The sequence below is a fragment of the Homo sapiens genome, chromosome 7 (genome assembly GCF_000001405.40).
Source record: "Homo sapiens chromosome 7, GRCh38.p14 Primary Assembly".
In the NCBI taxonomy this organism is placed as follows: domain Eukaryota; kingdom Metazoa; phylum Chordata; class Mammalia; order Primates; family Hominidae; genus Homo; species Homo sapiens.
The window spans coordinates 6,128,379-6,151,224 of NC_000007.14; the positions used below are offsets into that span (position 1 = coordinate 6,128,379).

The 22,846-nt window shown below is 44.7% G+C and overlaps 1 protein-coding gene across 19 annotated transcripts in view, besides 1 other annotated feature; it reads left to right on the plus strand.

Annotated features, from left to right (window-relative positions):
• Nucleotides 1-22,846, plus strand: part of USP42 (ubiquitin specific peptidase 42) — an 80,324-nt gene that overhangs the window by 47,138 nt on the left and 10,340 nt on the right. For 18 of the 19 annotated variants that reach the window (XM_047420940.1, XM_047420938.1, XM_024446969.2 and 15 more), the window contains 11 exons: nt 7,463-7,573; nt 10,714-10,816; nt 11,750-11,817; nt 12,536-12,606; nt 14,554-14,636; nt 15,707-15,818; nt 17,138-17,278; nt 17,770-17,870; nt 19,361-19,514; nt 21,205-21,924; nt 22,034-22,128. In XM_047420940.1, the coding sequence (XP_047276896.1) occupies nt 7,463-7,573; nt 10,714-10,816; nt 11,750-11,817; nt 12,536-12,606; nt 14,554-14,636; nt 15,707-15,818; nt 17,138-17,278; nt 17,770-17,870; nt 19,361-19,514; nt 21,205-21,924; nt 22,034-22,128 (1,759 nt within the window). Of the gene's footprint in view, nt 1-1,829; nt 1,921-7,462; nt 7,574-10,713; nt 10,817-11,749; nt 11,818-12,535; nt 12,607-14,553; nt 14,637-15,706; nt 15,819-17,137; nt 17,279-17,769; nt 17,871-19,360; nt 19,515-21,204; nt 21,925-22,033; nt 22,129-22,846 lie in introns of all 19 variants that reach the window. The other variant, XM_047420943.1, reaches the window with a different exon arrangement.
• Nucleotides 21,121-22,320: an enhancer, noted in NCBI's record as "CDK7 strongly-dependent group 2 enhancer chr7:6189130-6190329 (GRCh37/hg19 assembly coordinates)". NCBI's record gives its function as "activates an origin of replication core promoter dependent on BRD2, BRD4, P300/CBP, MED14 and CDK7 cofactors, with strong dependence on CDK7, by STARR-seq in HCT116 cells {active_cell/tissue: HCT116}" and the evidence as "EXISTENCE:reporter gene assay evidence [ECO:0000049][PMID:35650434]".

Genomic DNA, 22,846 nt, shown 5'->3' on the forward strand with positions numbered 1-22,846 from the left:
AGCCTTTGGAGCAGTTGGGACCACAGGCATGCACCACCATGCCCAGATAAAATTTTTTCCCTGCTTTGTTTTGATTAATGCTTGCATGACATATCTTTTTTATCCTTTTACTTTCAGCCTGCCTGTGTCATTACATTTGAAGTGAGTTTTTCTGTAAACAGCGTATCGTTGGGTTGTGCTGTTCAATCCATTTTGTGAGTCTGTGTCTTTTAACTCTCTGCTGCTCTAGGCTGGGTGTCCTTCACCCTCATTTATTTAGAACATTGACTTTTAAGGTGATTATTGATATTTTAAGACTTAAGGCTTATTCTGCCATTTAATGTTTTGTTTTTTGTTCTGTTCTTTTTTATATGTCTGTGTTTTCTTGCTTCTCTGTGGGTTATTTGAATACTTGAAAGTGTTTTTCAAAATTACATCATTTTGCTTTACTTGAGTCTTTCTTTCTTTTTTGGGGGTGGGTCGTGGACAGGGTCTCTCTGTCACCTAGGCTGGAGTGTGGTTGCACCATCTCAGCTCACTACAGCCTCAGTCTCCCAACCTCAAATGATCCTCCTGCCTCAGCCCCGCAAGTGGCTTGGACTACAGCTGTGCGCGACCATGCCTGGCTAATTTTTGTAGAGACAGGGTTTCACCATGTTGCCCAGGCTGGTCTCAAACTCCTGGGCTCAGGCCATCCGCCCACCTCAGGCTCACACAATGCTGGGATTACAGGCGTGTGCCACTGGGCCTGTAGCCTTTTTAGTGGTCACTTTTAGGGACCACATTTACACACACATAACTTTTACCACGGTTTACTGGTATTGTCATTTTACTAGTTTGAGGGACGTATAGAAACATTACTTCCCTATGTCCTTTACTCTCCACTAGTTATAATTGTTATAAAATGTTTCTTCTAGGCCAGGCGTGGTGGCTCATGCCTGTAATCCCAGCATTTTGGGAAGCCGAGGCAGGTGGATCACCTGAGGTCAGGAGTTTGAGACCAGCCTGGCCAACATGGCGAAACCCCATCTCTACTAAAAATACAAAAGATTAGCCAGGCATGGTGGCGGGCGCCTGTAATCCCAGCTATTCGGGAGGCTGAGGAAGGAGAATTGTTTGAATCCAGGAGGTGGAAGTTGTGGTGAGCCAAGATTGTGCTACTGCACTCCAGGCTGGGTGACAAAGTGAGGCTCTGCCTCAGGAAAAAAAAAAAAAAAAAAGGACGAGGCGCGGTGGCTCATGCCTGTAATCCCAGCACTTTGGGAGGCCGAGGCGGGCGGATTACCTGAGGTCAGGGATTCAAGACCAGCCTGGCCAACATGGTGAAACCCTGTCTCTACTAAAAATACAAAAATTAGCCAGGTGTGGTGGTGCACACCTCTAATCCTAGCTACTTGGGAGGCTGAGGCAAGAGAATCACTTGAACCCAGGAGGCAGAGGTTTCAGTGAGCCAAGATCATGCCATTGTACTCCAGCCTGGGTGACAGAGTGAGACTCTGTCTCAAAAAAAAAAAAAAAAGGTTTCTTTTATATACATTTAGAACCATATCAGACAATGTTATAATTTTTGTTTGAGAAATTCTTAGTTCTCAGTATGATGAGTGATTTTCAGTTGAAAGCTGGATTTTAAAACAATTTTGTTTTTTGAGTCAGGGTCTTACTTTGTTGTCCAGGCTGGAGTGCAGTGGTGTAATCATGGCTCACTGCAGCTCCCACCTCCTGGGCTCAAGCAGTCCTCTTGCGTCGACCTCCGAAAGTGCTAGAATTGTAGGCATGAGCCCCCGCGCCTGGCCATGGATATTTTGGTGTTATCTTATAAGACACTGAGTCTTATCTAACCTTTGTTTTAGCCAACTTGCTCTGACACTGCTCTGGCAGAGGAAGTGATGTCAGATGGAGTAGAAGCCCACATTCCCCACTCAGCCTCCGTTGGCACCCCAGGTGGGAATTGGGGATCGTTGTCCCTGCTGGGTGGAAGTGGAAGTTCCTGCTCCCCACATGGTCTCCACGGACACTGCAGTGGGAGTGGTTTTGTTACCACTGAGTGATGGTGACAGTCCTGCCTCTGACCCTCACCGGGGGCTGGGGAGGCCATAGTGGTGGCAGAGTTTAGAGGTGGCTTTTTACTACTGGGTGGGTGGAAATCTGGGCTCCCCACATGATTGTCACAACGTGGGGTGGGACAGGGTTTGTTCATCCAGTATGGTTGCAAGTCCCAGCTCCTAGTCAGCCTTCTCCACCGTTAACCCAGTATGGGTTAGGGTGCCTTGCTACAGCCTGTTGAGTGTAAGTCAAGGCTGTTTACTTGCCTTTTCTGGTGTGGGTGGAGGTGAGGCCATAGTTCTTCTGTGATGTTTTAATGTCTTTTGTATTCTTTTATGAGATGGTTGCTCAGGGGCAGCCACAAGAGGAGACACAAGAGAGGCTCAGGAAGACAAAGATTTTATGCTCACAGGGCACACCATGCAGGGCCATGTGGTGAGGAAGCAGAAGACAGGAGCAAGGGGAAGGCATTATTGGCCAGAGCCTTCGTTGAGGTTTCCGTGGGAAAAGCAGGGTAGGGCAGGGGGAAGAATTTGGGATTGGCTGGTTTGAATAATTTTTGTGGGCTCTGAGCCACAGGTGTGGTCCAGAGTTGCCTGGCACCTGGCCCTGAGATGATTAGGGCAGAGGAGTTTTGCCTCCTGGGGTGCACAGGCAGGTGGATGGAGAAGGAAGGGCTCTGGATTGGTTAGTGTGTATAGCAAAGGCTTGCACGAACGCTGAGCCCTTTGCTACCTCTAAGAATTGGCTAGCCTGAGGGGCAGCCTCTCCCCAGCCAGAAAGATCTTTAGGATGTCAAAACATCATAATAATTCTTACAATTCCAGCAGTTTGGGAGGCAGAGGAGGGTGGATCACTTGAGCCCAGGAGTCCGAGACCAGCCTGGCCAACATGGTGAAACCCTGTCTCTACTGAAATACAAACATTAGCCGGGTATGGTGGTGCATGCCTGTAATCCCAGCTACTCGAGAGACGGGTGGGGAGATCACCTGAGCCTTGGGAGGTAGAGGCTGCAGTGAGCCGTGATCCCGCCACTGCACTCCAGCCTGGGTGACAGAGTGAGATGCTGTCTCAAAAAAAACAAACCAAACAAAAACAAACATCATAATATACAGAAAAAAATACACACAGAAGCTGAAGTAGAGCAATGATTTCTAAAGGTTTCTGTCACACGAGGCTGCCCCTTCCTCATCCTTTGGCTGGAGAGAGTGGGAGCGGGATTTTGCTGGGCTTGGTTGCCTGCAGTTGTTGGGGCTTCCAGGTTGCTGACTTTAGCTCTAAGTCTGGACTAGAAGAAGCACAAAGAAACCCCAGGAAACTCACCACCATGTCTTCCTTGGGTCTTGAGGTCCGTAGCATGTCTCTTTCTCTTTCTACCTTTCACAGCCTTTTAAGGTTCATTTTATACACAATGGTCAGGATTTGTTGTACTTGGCAGGAGGAATAGAAAACTACCTCTATTCCGTCTCCCAGAAGTGCAAGTCTCATGTTTGTTTTTGAATGATATTCTCATGGGGTGTAGAATTCTATGTTAACATTATTTGTCTTTTTTGAGACAGGCTGTCACTCTCACCCAGGCTAGAGTGCAGTGGTGTGATTATAGCTCATTGCAGCCTCAACCTCTTGGGCTCAAGTAATCCTCCCACCTCAACTTCCTGAATAGCTGGGACTACAGGCGTTCACCACCATGCCTGGCTAATTTTTTGTAGAGACAGGATTTTGGCCATTTTGGCCAGGCTGGTCTCGAACTCCTAGGCTCAAGCGATCCACCCGCCTTGGCTTCCCAAAGTGCTGAGATTACAGGGCAGCCACCACACCTGGCCCGTTCTTTTTCTTTTAATACTTGAAAGATATTATTCCACTGTCTTCTGGCCTGTGCTGTGCCTGATAAGAAGTCTGTTGTCGTTTTTACCTTTGTTCCTATATACATAATGATTTTTTGCTTTTGTTTTTGTTTTGTTTCTTGTGTTTTTTTGAGACTGAGTTTCACTCCGTGGCCCAGGCTGGAGTGCAGTGTTGCGATCTCAGCTCACTGCAACCTCTGCCTCCCAGGTTCAAGTGATTCTCCTGTCTCAGCCTCCTGAGTAGCTGGGGTTACAGGCGCACACCACCATGCCCAGGTAATTTTTTGGATTTTTAGTAGAGACAGGGTTTCACCATGTTAGCCAGGCTGGTCTCAAACTCCTGACCTCAAGTGATCTACCCGCCTCAGCCTCACAGAATGCTGGGATTACAGGCATGAGCCACCAAGCCAGCCTATGTAATGTTTTGTTTGTTTGTTTGTTTTTTGAGACGGAGTTTTGCTCTGTTGCCCAGGCTGGAGTGCAGCGTCGAGATCTCGGCTCACTGCAACCTCCGCCTCCCGGGTTCACGCCATTCTCCTGCCTCAGCCTCCTGAGTAGCTGGGACCACAGGTGCGTGCCACCACACCCGGCTAATTTTTTTGTATTTTTAGTAGAGACGGGGTTTCACCGTGTTAGCCAGGATGGTCTCGATCTTCTACCTTGTGATCTGCCCATCTTGGTCTCCCAAAGTGCTGGGATTACAGGCGTGAGCCACTGCGCCCGGCCCAGCACTGTTTTTATCTCCAGTGCTTTTAAGATTTTTATCACTGGTTGTAAGTAGGGGTCCTTTGTGTAGTTTTCTTCATGTTTCTACTCCTGGAATTTGTTGAGGTTCTTAGATCTGTACATGTATTATTTCTGTCAAATTTGGACAACTTTCAGTGACTTTTGAAAACTTAATAACTTTTTTGGTGTAAGATCTTTTGAATATTAATATAGACTCATGTGAACTGACAGCTCAGTCAGGGTACGAAACCATGCCTCTTCCCAAAAACCTCCTTTGTGCTTTTCGTTTGTAGATAATTGTTATTTCTTGAAATATTTATGCTGTCCTTTTACCTTCAGACTCTAATGATGTATATCAGGGGCAACTTAAAATTGTCCCATAGCTTACTGGTATGCTGTGTTGTTGTTGTTATTTTGAGATTTTCTCTCTCTGTGTTTTATTATGGATATTTTCTACCCATAATGAATATCTTCAAGTTCACTAATCTTTTCTTCTGTGGTGTCTAATCTGTTATTAATTACATCTGGTGTTTTTGTTATTGTTGTTTGTTTTTATTTTTTTGAGACAGGATCTTACTCTGTCACCCAGGCTGGAGTGCAGTGGTGCTATCATAGCTTACTGCAGCCTCCAACTGCTGGGCTCAGGTGGTCCTCCCATCCCACATCAGCCTCTGGAGTAGCTGAGACTACAAGCACGTGCCACCACACCTGGCTAATTTTTGTATTTTTAGTAGAGATGGGGTTTTTCTGTGTTGCCCAGGCTGGTGTCAAACTCCTGGGCTCAAGTGGTCCGCCTGCCTCAGCCTCCCGAAGCACTGGGATGACAGGCGTAAGCCACCGCACCTGGTGCATTTTTCATCCCAGAGATTGTACTCTTCATGTGTATAAGCAGATTTGCATCTATTTCCATGTTTCTTCTTCTTTTTTTTTTTTTTTTTGAGACAGCGTCTTGCTCTGTCGCCCAGGCTGGAGTGCAGTGGTGCCATCTCAGCTCACTGCAAGCTCTGCTTCCTGGGTTCACGCCATTCTCTTGCCTCAGCCTCCCGAGTAGCTGGGACTACAGGTGCCCACCACCACGCCCAGCTAATTTTTTTGTATCTTTAGTAGAGACGGGGTTTCACTGTGTTAGCCAGGATCGTCTCGATCTCCTGACCTCGTGATCTGCCCTCCTTAGCTTCCCAAAGTGCTGGGATTACAGGTATGAGCCACCAGGCTCAGCCACCATGTTTCTTCTTAATGTATTCTTCCATTTTTCATTTCCTTGAACATAGGAATATATTTGTAATATCCTTTTTAAAGTTATTGTCTTCTGATTATATTTTCTGTGTTATTTCTGGGTCTTTTTCTGTTTATTTTCTCCTTGTTACCGGTCATTTCTGCATCTTTGCGTGCCTTGTACTGTTTGATTGGATGCCAGACAGAATGAATTTTATGTTATTGGGTGCTGGGATTTTTGTATTTCTTTAAAAAATATTTTTGAGCTTTATTGCAAGACAGAGTTAATTGGGAATAGCTTGATCCTTTTGTTTTAAGCGTTATTAGGTGCGTCTGGGTAGCCTTTAGTCAGGCAGCTCCTCAGCCTCGGTGCTGCCAACACTTTGGGTGACTCTTTGCTGGGAGGGGCTGTCCGGTGCATTCGAGGCTGTTGAGCGGCATCCCTGGCTTCTCCCCACTAGATGCTGCAGCATCACTTAGCATGCGCTAAGAATGATTTTTACATTTTTAGAAAGTTGTCAAAAAAGATATGCCATAGAGACCACCATCTGTGGCCAGCAACGCCAGAGTATTTACACAGAGATTATTTTCTTTTTTCTTTTCTTTCTTTGTTTTTTTGAGACAGGGTCTCGCTCTGTTGCCCAGGCTGTAGTGCAGTGGTGTGATCACAGCTTACTGCAGCCTCAGCCTCCCTGGGATCAGGTGATCCTCCTGCCTCGGCCTCCTGGGTAGCTGAGATTACAGGCTTGTGCCACCACACTGGGCTAATTTTCTTTTTATTTTTTGTAGAGACAGGGTTTGACCATGTTGCCCAGGCTAGTCTCAAACTCTTGGCCCCAAGAGATGCACCCACCTCAGCTTCCCAGAGTGCTGAGATGATAGGCATGAGCCATGGCGCCTGGCTTCCACAGTGATGTCTCATCCCTGCTGTGGGAGACTTTCTTTTAGTGTTTGAGATAAATAGTGGTGTGAGGGGAAAAACCTTGCTTTTCCTGTATAGAGAGTAGCTAGGAGCACTGGCTTTCAAATTTGAAAGAGTATGATTTGAATCCAATTATGTGTCTGTCCCATAATAACTCTTTGACATTGGGCAAACTTTTAAACTCTCTGAGCTTTTTTCCTTTCTTGTGAAAGAGAGCTAATATATACTTATCACTTAGGTTTGTTAGAAAAGTAAATGAGGCTGGGGTGGTGGCTTACACCTATAATCCCAGCACTTTGGGAGGCCAAGGTGGGTGGATTGCCTGAGGTCAGGATTTCGAGGCCAGCCTGGCTAACATGGTGAAACCCCATCTCTACTAAAAATACAAAAAAAAATTAGCCAGGCATGGTGGCGCATGTAGTAGTCCCAGCTACTTGGGAGGCTGAGGCAGGCAAATGGCTTGGACCCGGGGAGGCCGAGGTTGCAGTGAGCCAGGGTCACACCACTGCACTCCAGCCTGGGTGACAGAGTGAGACTCCATCTCAAAAAAAAAAAAAAAAAAAAAAAAAAGAACAAAAAAAAGTAAATGAAAATGCATAAAAGTAGATAGCTCAAGGCATGCATATAGCAGCTATTATTTCATTTCAGGTGTGTGCCCCTGATTTGTAATTAGCCTTGATGTGTGTATATGGTTGTATTTTGCTAATTTGGAGGATTATCATCTATCTTTCAGGTCATGCAGAAGGCTTTTGTATGATGTGTACAATGCAAGCACATATTACCCAGGCACTCAGTAATCCTGGGGACGTTATTAAACCAATGTTTGTCATCAATGAGATGCGGCGTAAGTATTAACTATTGTAGTTTTATATTTGTATTTATTACCTAGTTATACTTTTTTTTTTTTTTTTTTTCGAGACAGAGTCTTGCTCTGTCGCCTAGGCTGGAATGTAGTGGCGCTATTTCGGCTCACTGCAGCTTCCACCTCCCAGGTTCAAACGATTGTCCTGTCTCAGCCTCTCGAGTAGCTGAGATCACAGGCGTGTACCACTATGCCAGGCTAATTTTGTACTTTTAGTACAGATGGGGTTTCTCCATGTTGGTCAGGCTGGTCTCAAACTCCTGACCTCAGTTGATCCACCTGCCTCCGCCTCCCAAAGTGCTGGGATTACAGGCGTGAGCCACCATGCCTGGCCTATTACCTAGTTATTCTTAATGTCCAACTGGTGAAAAAAACCGAACCCGTCATGTATTAGAAAACAAATACATTTTGTCGTACGTGGCTATGTCTTTGATAACAAATTTTTAGTAAAACATTTGCTATATAAACACATTTTGAAACTTTAAAGCAAAAGATGACAATATATTAAAGACTATTCAATTTAATATAACAAATTTTAAACTATTAAAAATCAATATGTTAAAATAATTGGTAAGTTTTATAGTGTCTTTGCTCTGAAACTTGGATTTCTATGCTGAGTAATACTAATTCTGATATTGTCTCACAGGTTTTTGTAAACAGTTTTTAATTAGTTTCAGTTTGGTGAATGAATACTTTACTATACGCAGTGACAGAAATTGTCAAAATAAAGTTAATTAGGCTACTCTGGACACACTGCCTGTGGATTAGCCCTGCTCTGCAAGCAGCAGTAAAAATAAAATAAGAAATAAATAAGGTTAATTCTCTTTTTTCGGTTCTTCTTTTTTTTTTTTTTCAAGTGAGACTGTGTCTCACTGTTTTGCCCAGGCTAGTCTTGAACTCCTGGCTCAAGTGATCCTCTTGCCCCAGTTGAGTAGCTGGGATTACAGATGTGCACCACTATGCCCAACTTAATTACAGTCTTAAAAGAATATATACTCAGAGCTTAGCAAATTGGTGGATAAATTTTACTTTTTTCTATTTAATTTTTGAATTTTAAATGGGTAAGTGCATGAAATTTTCTTACATTCTGTGTGTTTTTGCAGTAAACTTTTGCATCTTGTTAATTGAGTTGGAATAAAAAATGCATACAAACAAAACTATAACTCTTAATCTGGCATCTAACTGGGTAATTATAGGGATGTGTAATTATACAGTAACAAACTGTAATCTTTTTGCCTAGAAAGCCACTGAAGATTAAAGAGGTCTTATATTGGCCCTTGGCATTATTGATAGACCACAACAGACAAGCCAAAAACCTTTGAAATATTGTTGAAGCCTGGCAAAATTTAGCCAGGCAGGTTTGGATTGTTTACACATGCATGCATGCATTCATTCATCCATTCATTTGAGATGGAGTCTCGCTCTGTCCCCAAGCCTGGAGTGCAGTGGCACGATCTTGGCTCACTACAACCTCTGCCTCTCAGGTTCAAGTGATTCTTCTGCCTCAGCCTCCCAAGTAGCTGGGATTACAGACGTGTACCACCACACCTGGCTAATTTTGTAGTTTTAGTAGAGACGGGGTTTCACCATGTTGGCCAGGCTGGCCTTGAACTCCTGACCTCAGGTGATCCACCCGTCTTGGCCTCCCAAAGTGCAGAGATTACAGACGTGAGCCACCATGCCTGGCTATTTATACATGTATTTATTTGTTTTTATTCATTTATTTTTGAGATGGAGTCTCACTCTGTCGCCTAGGCTGGAGTGCAGTGGTGCAGTCTTGGCTCACTGCAACCTCCGCCTCTCGGATTCCAGCGATTTCTCCTGCGTCAGCCTCCTGAGTAGCTGGGACTACAGGTGCTTGCCACTACCCCTGGCTAATTTTTGTATTTTTAGTAGAGATGGGGTTTCACCATGTTAGCCAGGATGGCCTCGATATCCTGACCTCATGATCCACCCGCCTCTGCCTCCCAAAGTGTTGGAATTACAGGTGTGAGCCACCACGCCCGACCACATATATTTATTTTTATACATATTTATATAGCAGACATGACTAACATTTTTAAACCTAGTCTTTTAAGAAAATGTCATTGCTCTGTGTGTGTGTGTATCCACTGATACACACATGGTTCAGTCATGAAGTTGTCACGTTTGTAGGTCTAAACTGGTGGAGTGTTGGCAGTTTCATGTGATTTAAGCTAGAACATTTTTATACATTCATACACATGTAAAATTCAGTATATATGTTTTAGTGTGATATTGCTTATACTTTTGTGTTAATTTTTTATTGTAATTTAAAAAATAATTTGGTCTTTTAGCTGTTTAATCAATTAGAAACAGGACTGAAATGTTTCTGTGCACCTGCAAATATAATTTCTTCTGTAGGTCATTGGGATAGAATTAGATAGGTTGGGAGATTTATATTTTGAATGGATTCTGTATTATAGAGATGTAGCACCAATTTAAAATCACCAGCATAGCATTTTGGACAAACTTGAGACAAAACAGCCAGTTTATTCAAGTGTAACTTTATTAACTTGCTAGAAACATGAGTCACTCTGTAGCTACTCTCTAGACTCTCAGAAACTCTAGCTGCTGTGGACTTTTAATGGTGTAAAGCAGGGGTCCCTAACCCCTGGGCCGTAGACTGGTACCCAATGTGGCCTGTTAGGAACTGGGCTGCACAGCAGGAGGTGAGCAGCAGGTGAGCATCCCCACCTGAGCTCCGCCTCCTGTCAGATCAATGGCAGCATTAGATTCTCATAGCAGCGCCAACCCTATTGTGAACTGTGTGTGCATGGGATCCAGGTTCCATGCTCCTTAGGAGAATCTCATGCCTGATGATCTGAGCTGGAACAATTTCATCCCAACCCCCTCTTCTGGTCTGTGGAAAAATGGTCTTCCGTGAAACCAGTCCCTGGTGCCCAAACGGTTGGGGATTCTAGTCTAAAGGGCCTGATCCTGCTTATAGCTTATATTAGTGGCTTATGTTAGTGCTATTTCCTCATAAAGTAAGTATTTGGGAGTTTTCCAACCAACATATTATTATAAGATATATTTTGGGGGGTACAACTTAGGCTTATTACGTGTAATGATAAAGCCTTGTCTTTACCGAAATTTTACAGGTATAGCTAGGCACTTCCGTTTTGGAAACCAAGAAGATGCCCATGAATTCCTTCAATACACTGTTGATGCTATGCAGAAAGCATGCTTGAATGGCAGCAATAAGTAAGTACAACAGAGCGCCAGCCATGTCTTCATTGGGGATCTCTGGTTGTAGTTTATTCTTATCAGAATTCATTTTCACCTTTTTTGTTGGAAGCACACAGAACAGTGTTCACTTTACCTTTTGGCTTTGCTCTGCCTCTTCCTTAGGTGATGTGCATTATTTTAAAATGGTTGAAATTTACACGTGTGTCTTACGTAACAGTTTGAGTTGGCTCAATCATAGATGTCAGGAAATAAACATTGGTCTTGCAGCTATTTAATTTCTCATTATCAGCAGACGTCTGCAGATCTCAAACTAGCTGCTTCTCCTTTCTAGTTGTGCCTGACATTTTCTTTTCTCTGCTGCCCTCCAGCCTGTGTTTATTTCCTGAACCCCCACCCCAATCAGTTACTGATTCTTGTAGCTAGTTCCTTAAAATCTAAATGCAGACTCAAGAGGAAGAACGAGGGGACAGATAATGCATCCCAAGCCGCTTGGTGCTGTCTGAGACACCTGGTAGATCTCCCTCTGCATTCTCCCTGCCCTGGCACCGCCCTGTCTAGGACTTCATTGTCCGGGTGATGACATACTTGGGTCGGAGGAAGACTCTCTGCCTTTTCCGCCTCCGCTCCCTTTCCTCCCACACAGGCCGCAGTGCCCGGAGGCTGCCATCTTCCTGCTTCAGGACCAGACTCCTGCCTTGCTTCCCGAGTCCCTTCCTGACAGACACAGCTCCCACAGCTCTGCGTCTCCTCCCGCCACTCCCAGACCTCCCTGTGTTCTGGCCAGGAAGGGATGCTCTTGGGCTGCCACACGTGCCATCCTTTTATTTTCCATGGCTGTCCTGTTTGAATTCTTGATCTTTTGTGAGCTCCCATGTGTTTGAAATCTGGTCACAGCATCTGGAGTTTTTGCAAAGCTCTTCTCTCATGTCACTGTTCAACGTTTTTCAGATTAGACAGACACACCCAGGCCACCACTCTTGTTTGTCAGATATTTGGAGGATACCTAAGATCTAGAGGTAAGCTTTTGCTTATAAGTTGATAAAATGATACACACATGTGGTTAAAAAATGGTAATAGTAGGACAGGGTTAGTCCTACTAGGAAGGAAGGAAAAGTGCTTCTCTCCAGCCCAGATTCTCATTCCTTTTACCCAGAGGCAGCCTCGGTGCCAGGTTGTAGTAAATCCTCCTGGTAGTTTCCTGTGCATGAATAAACTGGGAGCATACTGTGTGCACTGCTTCCATTTGTCTCTTCGTATTAGCAGTCTTTTACATTTCAGCACACAGGCCTAACAGCCTTCGACAGTTGGAGTAGTGTTCCATTTATTTTAGTCCCCTATCGATGGGATTTAGGTTGTTTGTGTTTTGTTGTTGTTCATGGAGCATCCGTGCACACATGCTTTATGTCTGGGTAAAAATGTATATGTAGGATGAATTCTTAGTATTAGAATTTCTGGATCACAGGGAGTGTGTATTGTAAATTTTAATTCTGTCAGGTTGTCTTCTAAGAGGGTATACCAGTTTTGATTCTAATCAATAGTATATGAGGGGCCAAATTCATTACACTTTTCACCCATATTATGAGTAGTATTAATTTAAAACTTTTTTTGTTCAATTGATAGAAAAATTACAGTTAAAAAATTTTAAATTTCAAAATTGTATTTTGTCATTTCAGTAGTTGATGTTGCTGTAATGATTATACTTTGCTCATCTTTTGCATTTTATTTTTATTTCAGTCAAATGTTTAAATTGCAAGGGCGTTTCAGATACTTTTGATCCATATCTTGATATAACATTGGAGATAAAGGTAAATTTCATAATTATGGGAGTAATTACATTTTTAAAATAAGTCATTTTATGTAACTGTAGTTCATTTATAATTTAGACTACTTGTTAGAGAATATAAATTGAAAAATTCAATATGCTAAGATTTCATTTGGAGGAATTATTCAAGCTTTGTAGTAAGCATCATAAAAAAGCTTTTAAAGTTTTTTTATTACTCTTTGAATTTTCTTTTTCTTTTCTTTTTTTTTTTTTTTTTTTGAGATGGAATTGCACTCTGTCACCCAGGCTGGCATGCAGTGGCGTGATCTCGGCTCACTGCAACCTCCACCTCCCGAGTTCAAGCAATTCTTCTGCCTCAGCCTCCCGAGTAGGTGGGACTATAGGTGCATGTGCCACCATGCCCAGCTAATTTTTGTATTTTTAGTAGAGATGGGGTTTCACCTATCGGCCAGGATGGTCTTGAACTCTTGACCTCGTGATCTGCCCACCTCCCAAAGTGCTGGGATTACAGGCGTGAGCCACCGCGCCCGGCCTGAATTTTCATTTAATATCTTAATAAAACTAGATTTTCTATATTAGCCAAGTACAGTTGGTTATTATTATTTTTTTTTTTTGAGATGGAGTCTTGCTCCATTGCCCAGGCTGGAGTGCAGTGGCGCAATATCAGCTCACTGCATCCTCCACCTCCAGGGTTCAAGCATTTCCCCTGTCTCAGCCTCCCTAGTAGCTGGGACTACAGCGACTGTGCCCAGCCTGCCTCTTGCATTTTCTGAATTCCTAATTTTTTTGTTGTTTTTGAGCTTGCATTTTTCTGATTACAGATGTAATACATGCTTATGATAAAAATGAGTAACGTTGCAGATATATGTAAAATCCTTTCCTTTTGAATGCATTATTTTTAACAGTTTGATATGTACTGCTCCAGAATGTATTGTTCACTTTTTATATAAATGAGATTGTGTCTGATGTCTGTCTGGCCACTCACTGTTCCGTGTAATTCTGTTGAGACCTTTCTGTGTGAGCGTGCTCTCTGGGCAGTGTGTGGTGCAGTGAATGGATAGACTGTAATTCCTGTGCCGAATTCCTTGCTGGTGGATATTTGGTTTGCTTCCAGTTTTATGTATTGCTGCAGTGAGCATCCTCTATATTTTTGTTCACTTTAATTCTGCTCATTTTTAAATGGGAGAGGATATAATTTGGTATGTAGATTTATAAAAGTGAACATCATACTACTAAATGAAAATTTTGTTTCTTTTTTCTTTTTTTTTTTTTGAGACGGAGTCCTGCTCTGTCACCCAGGCTAGAGTGCAGTGGCTCGATCTCGGCTCACTGCAACCTCCACCTCCTGGGTTCAGGCGATTCTTCTGCCTCAACCTCCCAAGTAGCTGGGACTACAGGCGCGTGCCACTGTGCCCTGCTAATTTTTTGTATTTTTAGTAGAGACGGGGTTTTACCATGTTAGCCAGGATGGTCTGGATCTCCTGACCTCATGATCTGCCTGCCTTGGCCTCCCAACGTGCTGGGATTACAGGCGTGAGCCACCACGCCCGCCCGGAAAATTTTCTTTTTACATAAAAATTTTCATTTGCTGTTATATCTTTGAGTCTTCTGTTCCTTCTTTTAAAAAATAAGGGGCACGGCTGGGCATGACAGCTCATACCTGTAATCCTAACAGTTTGGGAGGTCGAGGTGGGAGGATCGCTTGAGCCCAGGAGTTTGAGACCAGCCTGGGGGAATATAGTGAGACCCCTGTCTCTACAAAAAAATGAAAAATTTAGCTGGGCATGGTGGCCATGCCTGTGGTTTAGCTGCTCGGGAGGCTGAGGTGAGAGGATTGCTTGAGCCCAGGAGGTCGAGGCTGCAGTGAGCTGTGATTGTGCCACTGCACTCCAGCCTGGGTGGCAGGGCAAGACCCAAACACAAGTGACGGTGTGCGGTGATGTGGTGTTTGTGCCTCTTCTCTTCCCAGGCTGCTCAGAGTGTCAACAAGGCATTGGAGCAGTTTGTGAAGCCGGAACAGCTTGATGGAGAAAACTCGTACAAGTGCAGCAAGTACGTTGGGTGGTGACTTGATTCTTGATGCCGGCTTCTCCAGTGGGGATGGCCGGCAGGCTTGGTTTGAGAGAGTTTGGTGTGTCTAGGTTGCTTGAGTTTCTGATACCCTCTGGGAAGACACTGCGTCCCTGTCGTCCAAAGGCGAGAGCCCGGAGTGTCTTGATGTGTGTGTTTCTGCAAGATGCGCAGCTCTGTGCCTGTGAAAGCCTGGGGCATGACATTATTGGGCAGATTCGGTGGGAGGAGAGAGGTAAAATTGTCTTTGCACCCCATGGTAGTGCTGCTTCAGGTGTGGCTGGGCACGCACTGTCTGCCAAATAGCATTTTCATTGACTTTCTTATGATAAGAGGGCTGCCGTCGGGTGGGGAGTCACTTTCTTCTGGGATAGGGAGGCTCCTTCTCTCTTAGGGTGGGTTCCCAGGGTTTGGGATAGCATTTGCTGAAAAACTCTAATTTTGATCATTCATTAATATGTTTCCACATGAAGTCAAGAGTGCCTATTTTAAGAAAGCTCTTTTGTATGTTTTTAAGTAGATTTCCACTTTGTGGTCAGGTAATAGAAGTAATTTTTTTATTGTCAAATCTTCAAGACCAGAGGGATTTTGCCTTTGTTTTAAATTCCACAGACATTTCTAATATTTATTTTTATTCCTTTTGTTTCTGGTTAGGGCTCTCTTTTCATATAATAATTATTATTATTTTTAAATTAGATGAATTTAAGACATATTTTCACATAATTATACCAGTCTGAACATGTTCGTTTTTCAGTTTCTTTTGAATTGAGAGGAAGTTGTGTTAACCTAATTTTAACATTATTGGTGGCTTGCGTGGCTTGGTTTTTCAGAATTGTCCTAACTTCCTTTCCTTTCATGCTAATTAAGCAGTTTCCCCCTGTATTTTTAATGTTAATATTTTCACTGTTGGTTGAAGGCTGGTGGTTCTCATCCAGTGTCCTTTTTGGAACCTTAATATGTAATGTTTGAGAATAGTAACAAGAAAGACCAAAATACCACAAATTGTGTGTATATATTCGTCTTCTTATACTTTTGTTTCTGTTTGTTTCAAGGTGTAAAAAGATGGTTCCAGCTTCAAAGAGGTTCACTATCCATAGATCCTCTAATGTTCTTACACTTTCTCTGAAACGTTTTGCAAATTTTACCGGTGGAAAAATTGCTAAGGTATGTGGATGATGTCATTAATCATGTTTTATGTCGAGCCTTTCGAAGCTTAACGTGTCTGTAGCTATTAAGGATTAAGGACTCGACTTTCTCATGACAAAATTGCTAACTATTACCTACATTTGGGCTTCATTGTCTGTTTTGTTGGTACCCGTGGTTGTGAGGGGATACAGGGAGAGCCTGTATAATCTGAAATCCAAAGAGGACTTCCTGCTAGACTTTGCCAGTTTTCACCAAAGTTCATTTTGTCTTGTTTGTTTGTTTTCTGATTGGTAGTACACTGAATTTTCCCATTTTCTTCCCACTTTCTGAAGATTGAAAGTGGTCAAAAACTAAATAGCATGCAAGAGAAATAAACGATCCATTCCTGAATTATTAAAATTAAATAATCGGCCGAGTGTGGTGGCTCACGCCCGTAATCCCAGCACTTTAGAAGGCCTAGTTGGGCATATCACTTCAAGCCGGGAGTTTGAGACCACTCTGGCGAACGTGGCAAAGCCCTGTTTCTACTAAAAATACTAAAATTAGCTGGGTGTGGTGGCAGGCACTTGTAATCCTAGCTACTCGGGAGGCTGAGGCAGGAGAATCGCTTGAACCTAGGAGGCAGAGGTTGCAGTGAGCCGAGATTGTGCCACTGCACTCCAGCCTGGGCAACAGAGTCAGATTCTGTCTCAAAAAAAAAAAAATTATGTTCAGAGTTGTCATTTTGTTAGTCTGTCCTTTGATGGGTTTGAAGAATTCACTTAATATAGATCCTGACTTGTTAAAAGAAAATAATAAATGCAGCAGGATGGCCTTAAATACACTTAGATTCCGCTATCCTCCCGGTTAACCATGCCCTTTGAAAGGTGGCTAGGCCAGGTGCAGTGGCTCATGCCTATAATTCTAGCACTTTGGGAGGCCAAGCTGGGTGGATCACGAGGTCAGGCGTTCAAGACCAGCCTAGCCAAGATGGTGAAACCCCTGTCTCTACTAAAAATACAAAAATTAGCTGGGCGTGGTGGCGCACCTGTAATCCCGGCTACTCGGGAGGCTGAGGCAGGACAATCACTTGAACCCGGGAGGCGGAGCTTCCAGTGAGCTGAGATCGTGTCACTGCACTCCAGCCTGGGTGATAGAGTGGCACGCCATCTCAAAAAAAAAAAAAAGATGGCTAAATGCACTAGGTTTTTTAAATGCATTAGGTTTTTGCTAGAATATCACAGGGCTCAGGTGTTCTGTGGGTCTCCCCTCCTAGGAAGCTCTAAGTACCCTCTACCTGAATATGTGGAATGATCTGTGCCCTCGGAAATGTTTCTCCTGTTTCCATTTCCTTCTAGGATGTGAAATACCCTGAGTATCTTGATATTCGGCCATATATGTCTCAACCCAACGGAGAGCCAATTGTCTACGTCTTGTATGCAGTGCTGGTCCACACTGGTTTTAATTGCCATGCTGGCCATTACTTCTGCTACATAAAAGTAAGCTGTGCAGATTTGCTATTAACTATTGTTACATACATGCTATAAGACAGCAGTAGCATTCTTGGGGTAGGGAGAGGTGGAACTTTTACAGTTAAAATGTGAATACCCGAGGTAAAAATATTTCTCTTGGCCGGGCGCAGTGGCTTACTCCTGTAATCCCTACACTTTGGGAGACTGAGGCTGGGGGATCACTTGAGGTCAGGAGTTCAAGACCAACCTGGCCAACAGGGTGAAACCCCGCCTCTATTAAAAATACAAAAATTATCTGCGTGTGGTGGCACCTGCCAGTAATCCCAGCAGCTCCGGAGGCTGAGGCAGGAGAATCGCTTGAACCCAGGAGGTGGAGATTGCAAGATCACGCCACTGCACTCCAGCCTGGGTGACAGAGTGAGACTCCATCTCAAAAAAAAAGAAAGAAATATTTCTCTTGACTATGTTCCATGTTTAATTAAATCTAATCTCTCTCTTTTATTGGCTCTCATTTATAGGCTAGCAATGGCCTCTGGTATCAAATGAATGACTCCATTGTATCTACCAGTGATATTAGATCGGTACTCAGCCAACAAGCCTATGTGCTCTTTTATATCAGGTATTGTCATGAAAACAAATTGCCAGATTTTCTGGTATGTCATTTCTTCTTGTCTTATCAACATGTTTGAATTCAATATTCAGTGTTTTAAAAAAAAAAAAAAACCCAGCAGCTTAAAGATCAACTCTAGCCTGGGCATGGTGCCTCACGCCTATAATCCTAGCACTTTGGGCGGCCAAGATGGAAGGATCACTTGAGCCCAGGAGTTCGAGACCGACCAGCCTGGGCAACATAGTGAGACCACATGTCTACAAAATACGAAAAAATTAGCCAGGTGTGGTGTTGTGGGCCTGTGGTCTTATCTGCTCCGAAAGTTGAGGTGGGAGGATTACCTGAGCCTGGGGAGGCCGAGGCTGCAGTAAGCCATGATTGAGCCACTGCATTCCAGCCTGAGTGACAGAGCAAGACTGTCTCAAAAAAAAACCAAAAACCATCAACTCTGCCATGTGCCTGGAGAGTAAGAAAGGTAGTGTCTGAGCGGGATGATGAGTTTGCTCCGCATCGCACTCTGTGGCCATGAGCACTGAAGGTGCAGCTGCAGGGAGAGGTGGTGGCTGACAAGGGTGGGCTTCTGCTGCGGGCAGTAATGGAGTGGGCCAGGAGCCACAGGACAATGAGTGGAGACCTCAGGAAGGGACCTCTGAGCACCTGGCGTGGTCACAGCCAGCACCTCCCAACCTGGAGCACAGGTCAGTTGCCTTCCAGGCCAAGGCCAGCACCCGCACCCAGCTCTGTCCTGTTGTGGCTGCATACGCTTTTCACTCACTCACTCGCTCCATTTTTGGAAAAAATGTTTGATAGCTGAAAATCAAGAATATTCTCAAATGTCCAACTGGCAGAATGCTCATGTCTGCACATTGAAATATTAAACACTGGCATTGGATTTCGGCAGTTGGGCTGAAGCACAGATGATGATCAGAGGAGGCCTCAGGCCAAGTTGAGGGGTAGGATTTTGTTTCTAACTTTTTTGGACACTAGATTTTCCACAGTGGCATATATTTATAATTAGAAAAATATAAGCCTGGGCAACAAAGCGAGACCCCATTTCTACAGAAAATAAAAAAATGAGCCAGGCGTGGTGGTGCATGTCTGTGGTCCCAGCTACTCAGGAGGCTGAGGCAGGAGGGCAAGGCCACAGTGAGCAATGGCTGTTCCTCTGCAGTCCAGCCTGGGCGACGCAGCAAGACCCTGTCTCAAAAAAAGGAAAATATAAATAAACAGAAAAGAAATACCTTTCAGATGAAACAGCATCTTCAGAAAACACAGTTTAAAGAACGTCATTTACCCAGTTATCCTTGTTGTCTCCTGATCTGAGTGCCTGACATTAGCCTGAAGGAGGGGATGTGTATAGCTCCATACTGTGTAGCATAAACATGCTATTTTTTTCATCAGGTTTCCGCCTGAGGGGTTAAATGCTGTTGACTTTGTAAATGAATCTCTCCTAAGGAGGTGTCCTGTGTCACCCTAAGTATCGCTCTCCTTGTTTCCAGGTCCCATGATGTGAAAAATGGAGGTGAACTTACTCATCCCACCCATAGCCCCGGCCAGTCCTCTCCCCGCCCCGTCATCAGTCAGCGGGTTGTCACCAACAAACAGGCTGCGCCAGGCTTTATCGGACCACAGCTTCCCTCTCACATGATAAAGGTAACAGTCCTTAGGGAGAAGAACATTTTTATGTTAATTTTTAAAATGTAACTTCAAACTCTCAAGTTGAATTGTAGTGGTTGCTGTGTCCTCAAATACATCTGAATTTCTTCTCACAGTTTAATCAAACCCTCTTACACAGTATTTCAAATATACAGAAAACGGCCGAGCGCAGTGGCTCAAGCTTGTAATCCCAGCACTTTGGGAGGCCGAGACAGGTGGATCATTTGAGCTCAGTTGTTTGAGACCACCCTGGGTACCAGGGTGAAACCCCGTCTCCACAAAAAATACAAGTATCAGCCGGGTATGGTGGTGTGTGCTGTGGTCCCAGCTGCTCAGGAGGCTGAGGCAGGAGGATCACTTGAGCCCAGGAGGCAGAGGTTGCAGTGAGCTGAGATTGCACCACTGCACTCCAGCCTGGGCAACAGAGTGAGACCCCGTCTCCAAAATAACCCCCCAAAAAAACAAAAACCCCAAAATATACAGCAAACCTCACCAATGGGGAGGAAAGAGGAAAGCCTGGGTGTCAGCACCTTTAAATTTTAGGTCCCCTCTGGACTTCCATTCTTCTCAAAGGGTTAAACACTTGGAGATTCTTTAATTCCTGTCGGATTGCAGGAAAGCGATCTGTTTACAAGAACACGTTTGTTAGGTCCATTTAGTCGTTTCAGGGGTGTGGTGTTTCTGTCTGCTCTCCCCCTGGGTTTGATTTTACTCCCTGTTGGTCCTGTCGGGGCGAACAGTAGTGAGCTAGTGTCACAAGGAACACAGGATTCTAGAGTGGGGGCCTCATCTGAGCTGTGGCATCTTCACAGCTTTTCGACTTGAGTTTGTTTTGGATGATCACACACACGGTCTAGCTGCATGCTTTATTTTATGGACATCAGGCAGTATATTTGAGGTATAACAGAGTCACACATCAAATGCCCAGCGGGCTCCCCTTTTGGGCTCTGCTCCAGAGTGACATCAGGACTCTGGCAAACAGGAGGGCATGTGCCCTGTAGGAAGGGGTGGTTGGCATTGCTTTTCCAAAGCCTGTTTTTGTTTTTACCATGAAGCTTTCCAGTGTTAGGATGGCAGCTAATTCAGGTATGTGAGGAGACGCTGGGAAGGCCACACGTGATCTGTTAACTGACTTTCACGCCTGCGCCTCCACGGGGGTGCAGCAGCCATGGGGGAACCTGCAGCGAGTCTCACTGCGTGAGGAGAATGTGGAGACGTTGTGGGGCAGTGGTGGGGTCATGGCTGAGTGAGTGGCGGCTGAAGCAGCCCCTACTCTCCGCCCACGTGACCGTCTCCTTTGCTCCGAGGCGAGGGTGATTCCTCCTTCCTGGCACTCTGCATCAGCGAGCTCCCAGGAAACCCAACCAGGTAGCAAGTGTGTGACTCCATGCCACAGGTCCTGCTGATTTCGATCAGATCTGGGACAGAACGAGTTTGGTCGGAGGATTGTTTTCTGTGAAACATGTATGTCCTGTTTGTTGATTTATTGCCAGAAAACTAGGGCCTGTGGAAAGTATGCGCGGGTAGGAGGGATTGAGAAAAACAGAGAACATTTCCAGGTGTATGAAACTTGTTAGTCCTGAAAAAAAAAAAAAGCAAAATGGGAAGGACCCATCAGCCAAAATGGGTTCTGTTTGTGTGACCATGTTTCTGGAGCTCTGACCAGGTGCGCTCTGCTTACTTCCAGAATCCACCTCACTTAAATGGGACTGGACCATTGAAAGACACGCCAAGCAGTTCCATGTCGAGTCCTAACGGGAATTCCAGTGTCAACAGGGCTAGTCCTGTTAATGCTTCAGCTTCTGTCCAAAACTGGTCAGTTAATAGGTCCTCAGTGATCCCAGAACATCCTAAGAAACAAAAAATTACAATCAGTATTCACAACAAGTTGCCTGTTCGCCAGTGTCAGTCTCAACCTAACCTTCATAGTAATTCTTTGGAGAACCCTACCAAGCCCGTTCCCTCTTCTACCATTACCAATTCTGCAGTACAGTCTACCTCGAACGCATCTACGATGTCAGTTTCTAGTAAAGTAACAAAACCGATCCCCCGCAGTGAATCCTGCTCCCAGCCCGTGATGAATGGCAAATCCAAGCTGAACTCCAGCGTGCTGGTGCCCTATGGCGCCGAGTCCTCTGAGGACTCTGACGAGGAGTCAAAGGGGCTGGGCAAGGAGAATGGGATTGGTACGATTGTGAGCTCCCACTCTCCCGGCCAAGATGCCGAAGATGAGGAGGCCACTCCGCACGAGCTTCAAGAACCCATGACCCTAAACGGTGCTAATAGTGCAGACAGCGACAGTGACCCGAAAGAAAACGGCCTAGCGCCTGATGGTGCCAGCTGCCAAGGCCAGCCTGCCCTGCACTCAGAAAATCCCTTTGCTAAGGCAAACGGTCTTCCTGGAAAGGTGAGTGCACGTCAGGGTCTTCAGCCTCGTTTGTGGCGGTTCCCTTGGCTGGATTTCAGGAGGCATGGAGCTGGCGACTGAAGCTGAAATATTTTTGTTTTTATTGCAGTTGATGCCTGCTCCTTTGCTGTCTCTCCCAGAAGACAAAATCTTAGAGACCTTCAGGCTTAGCAACAAACTGAAAGGCTCGACGGATGAAATGAGGTAACGTAAGAGTACATCTGAGGCACGTGTGGCAGCATAGTAGGAAATCCAGTAGCCTCCAGATGTGTCAGTATTTGAATGCTGTAGAAATTTTATAATGAACATTTTGAATCCTAGAATGATTTGAATTATAATGTATAGGATTTATTAACTTGCCTTTTAGAAGAGTAAAGAAAAAATGTGGCATACAGGACTGAGTCCACGGAAACTTGATGTACTCACCATGCTATTTCTCCTCCTGCGTGGCCACCTCTCTCTGGTTAGCGGTGTTACTGGCACGCCTTCAAGTGCCATCTCATTTCATCTTTCTCATGAGAAATGATGATGTGAGGGTGTGCTGAGGGTCTAGGCCAGGGCTCTCAGTCCTGTGAAGAAGCACATACAGACATCCGTCCGTCCACAACAGGGATGCCTTCTGAGAAATGCATCGTTTGGGGATGTGGTTGTCATGCCAGCACCACAGTGTGTCACACAGACCTAGATGGTGTGTCCTGCGGCTCCTAGGCCACAAACCTGCACAGCCTGTGACTGCACTGGATCCCGTAGGCAGCTGTAATACAGTGGTATTTGTGTATCTAAACATAGAAAAGGGACAGTAAAAATATGGTATAAGAGGAAAACTGGCACACCTGCACAGGGCACTTACCATGAATGGAGCTGGCAGGACTGGAGGGTGCTCTGGGTGAGCCAGTGAGTGAGTGCTGAGTGAATGTGGAGG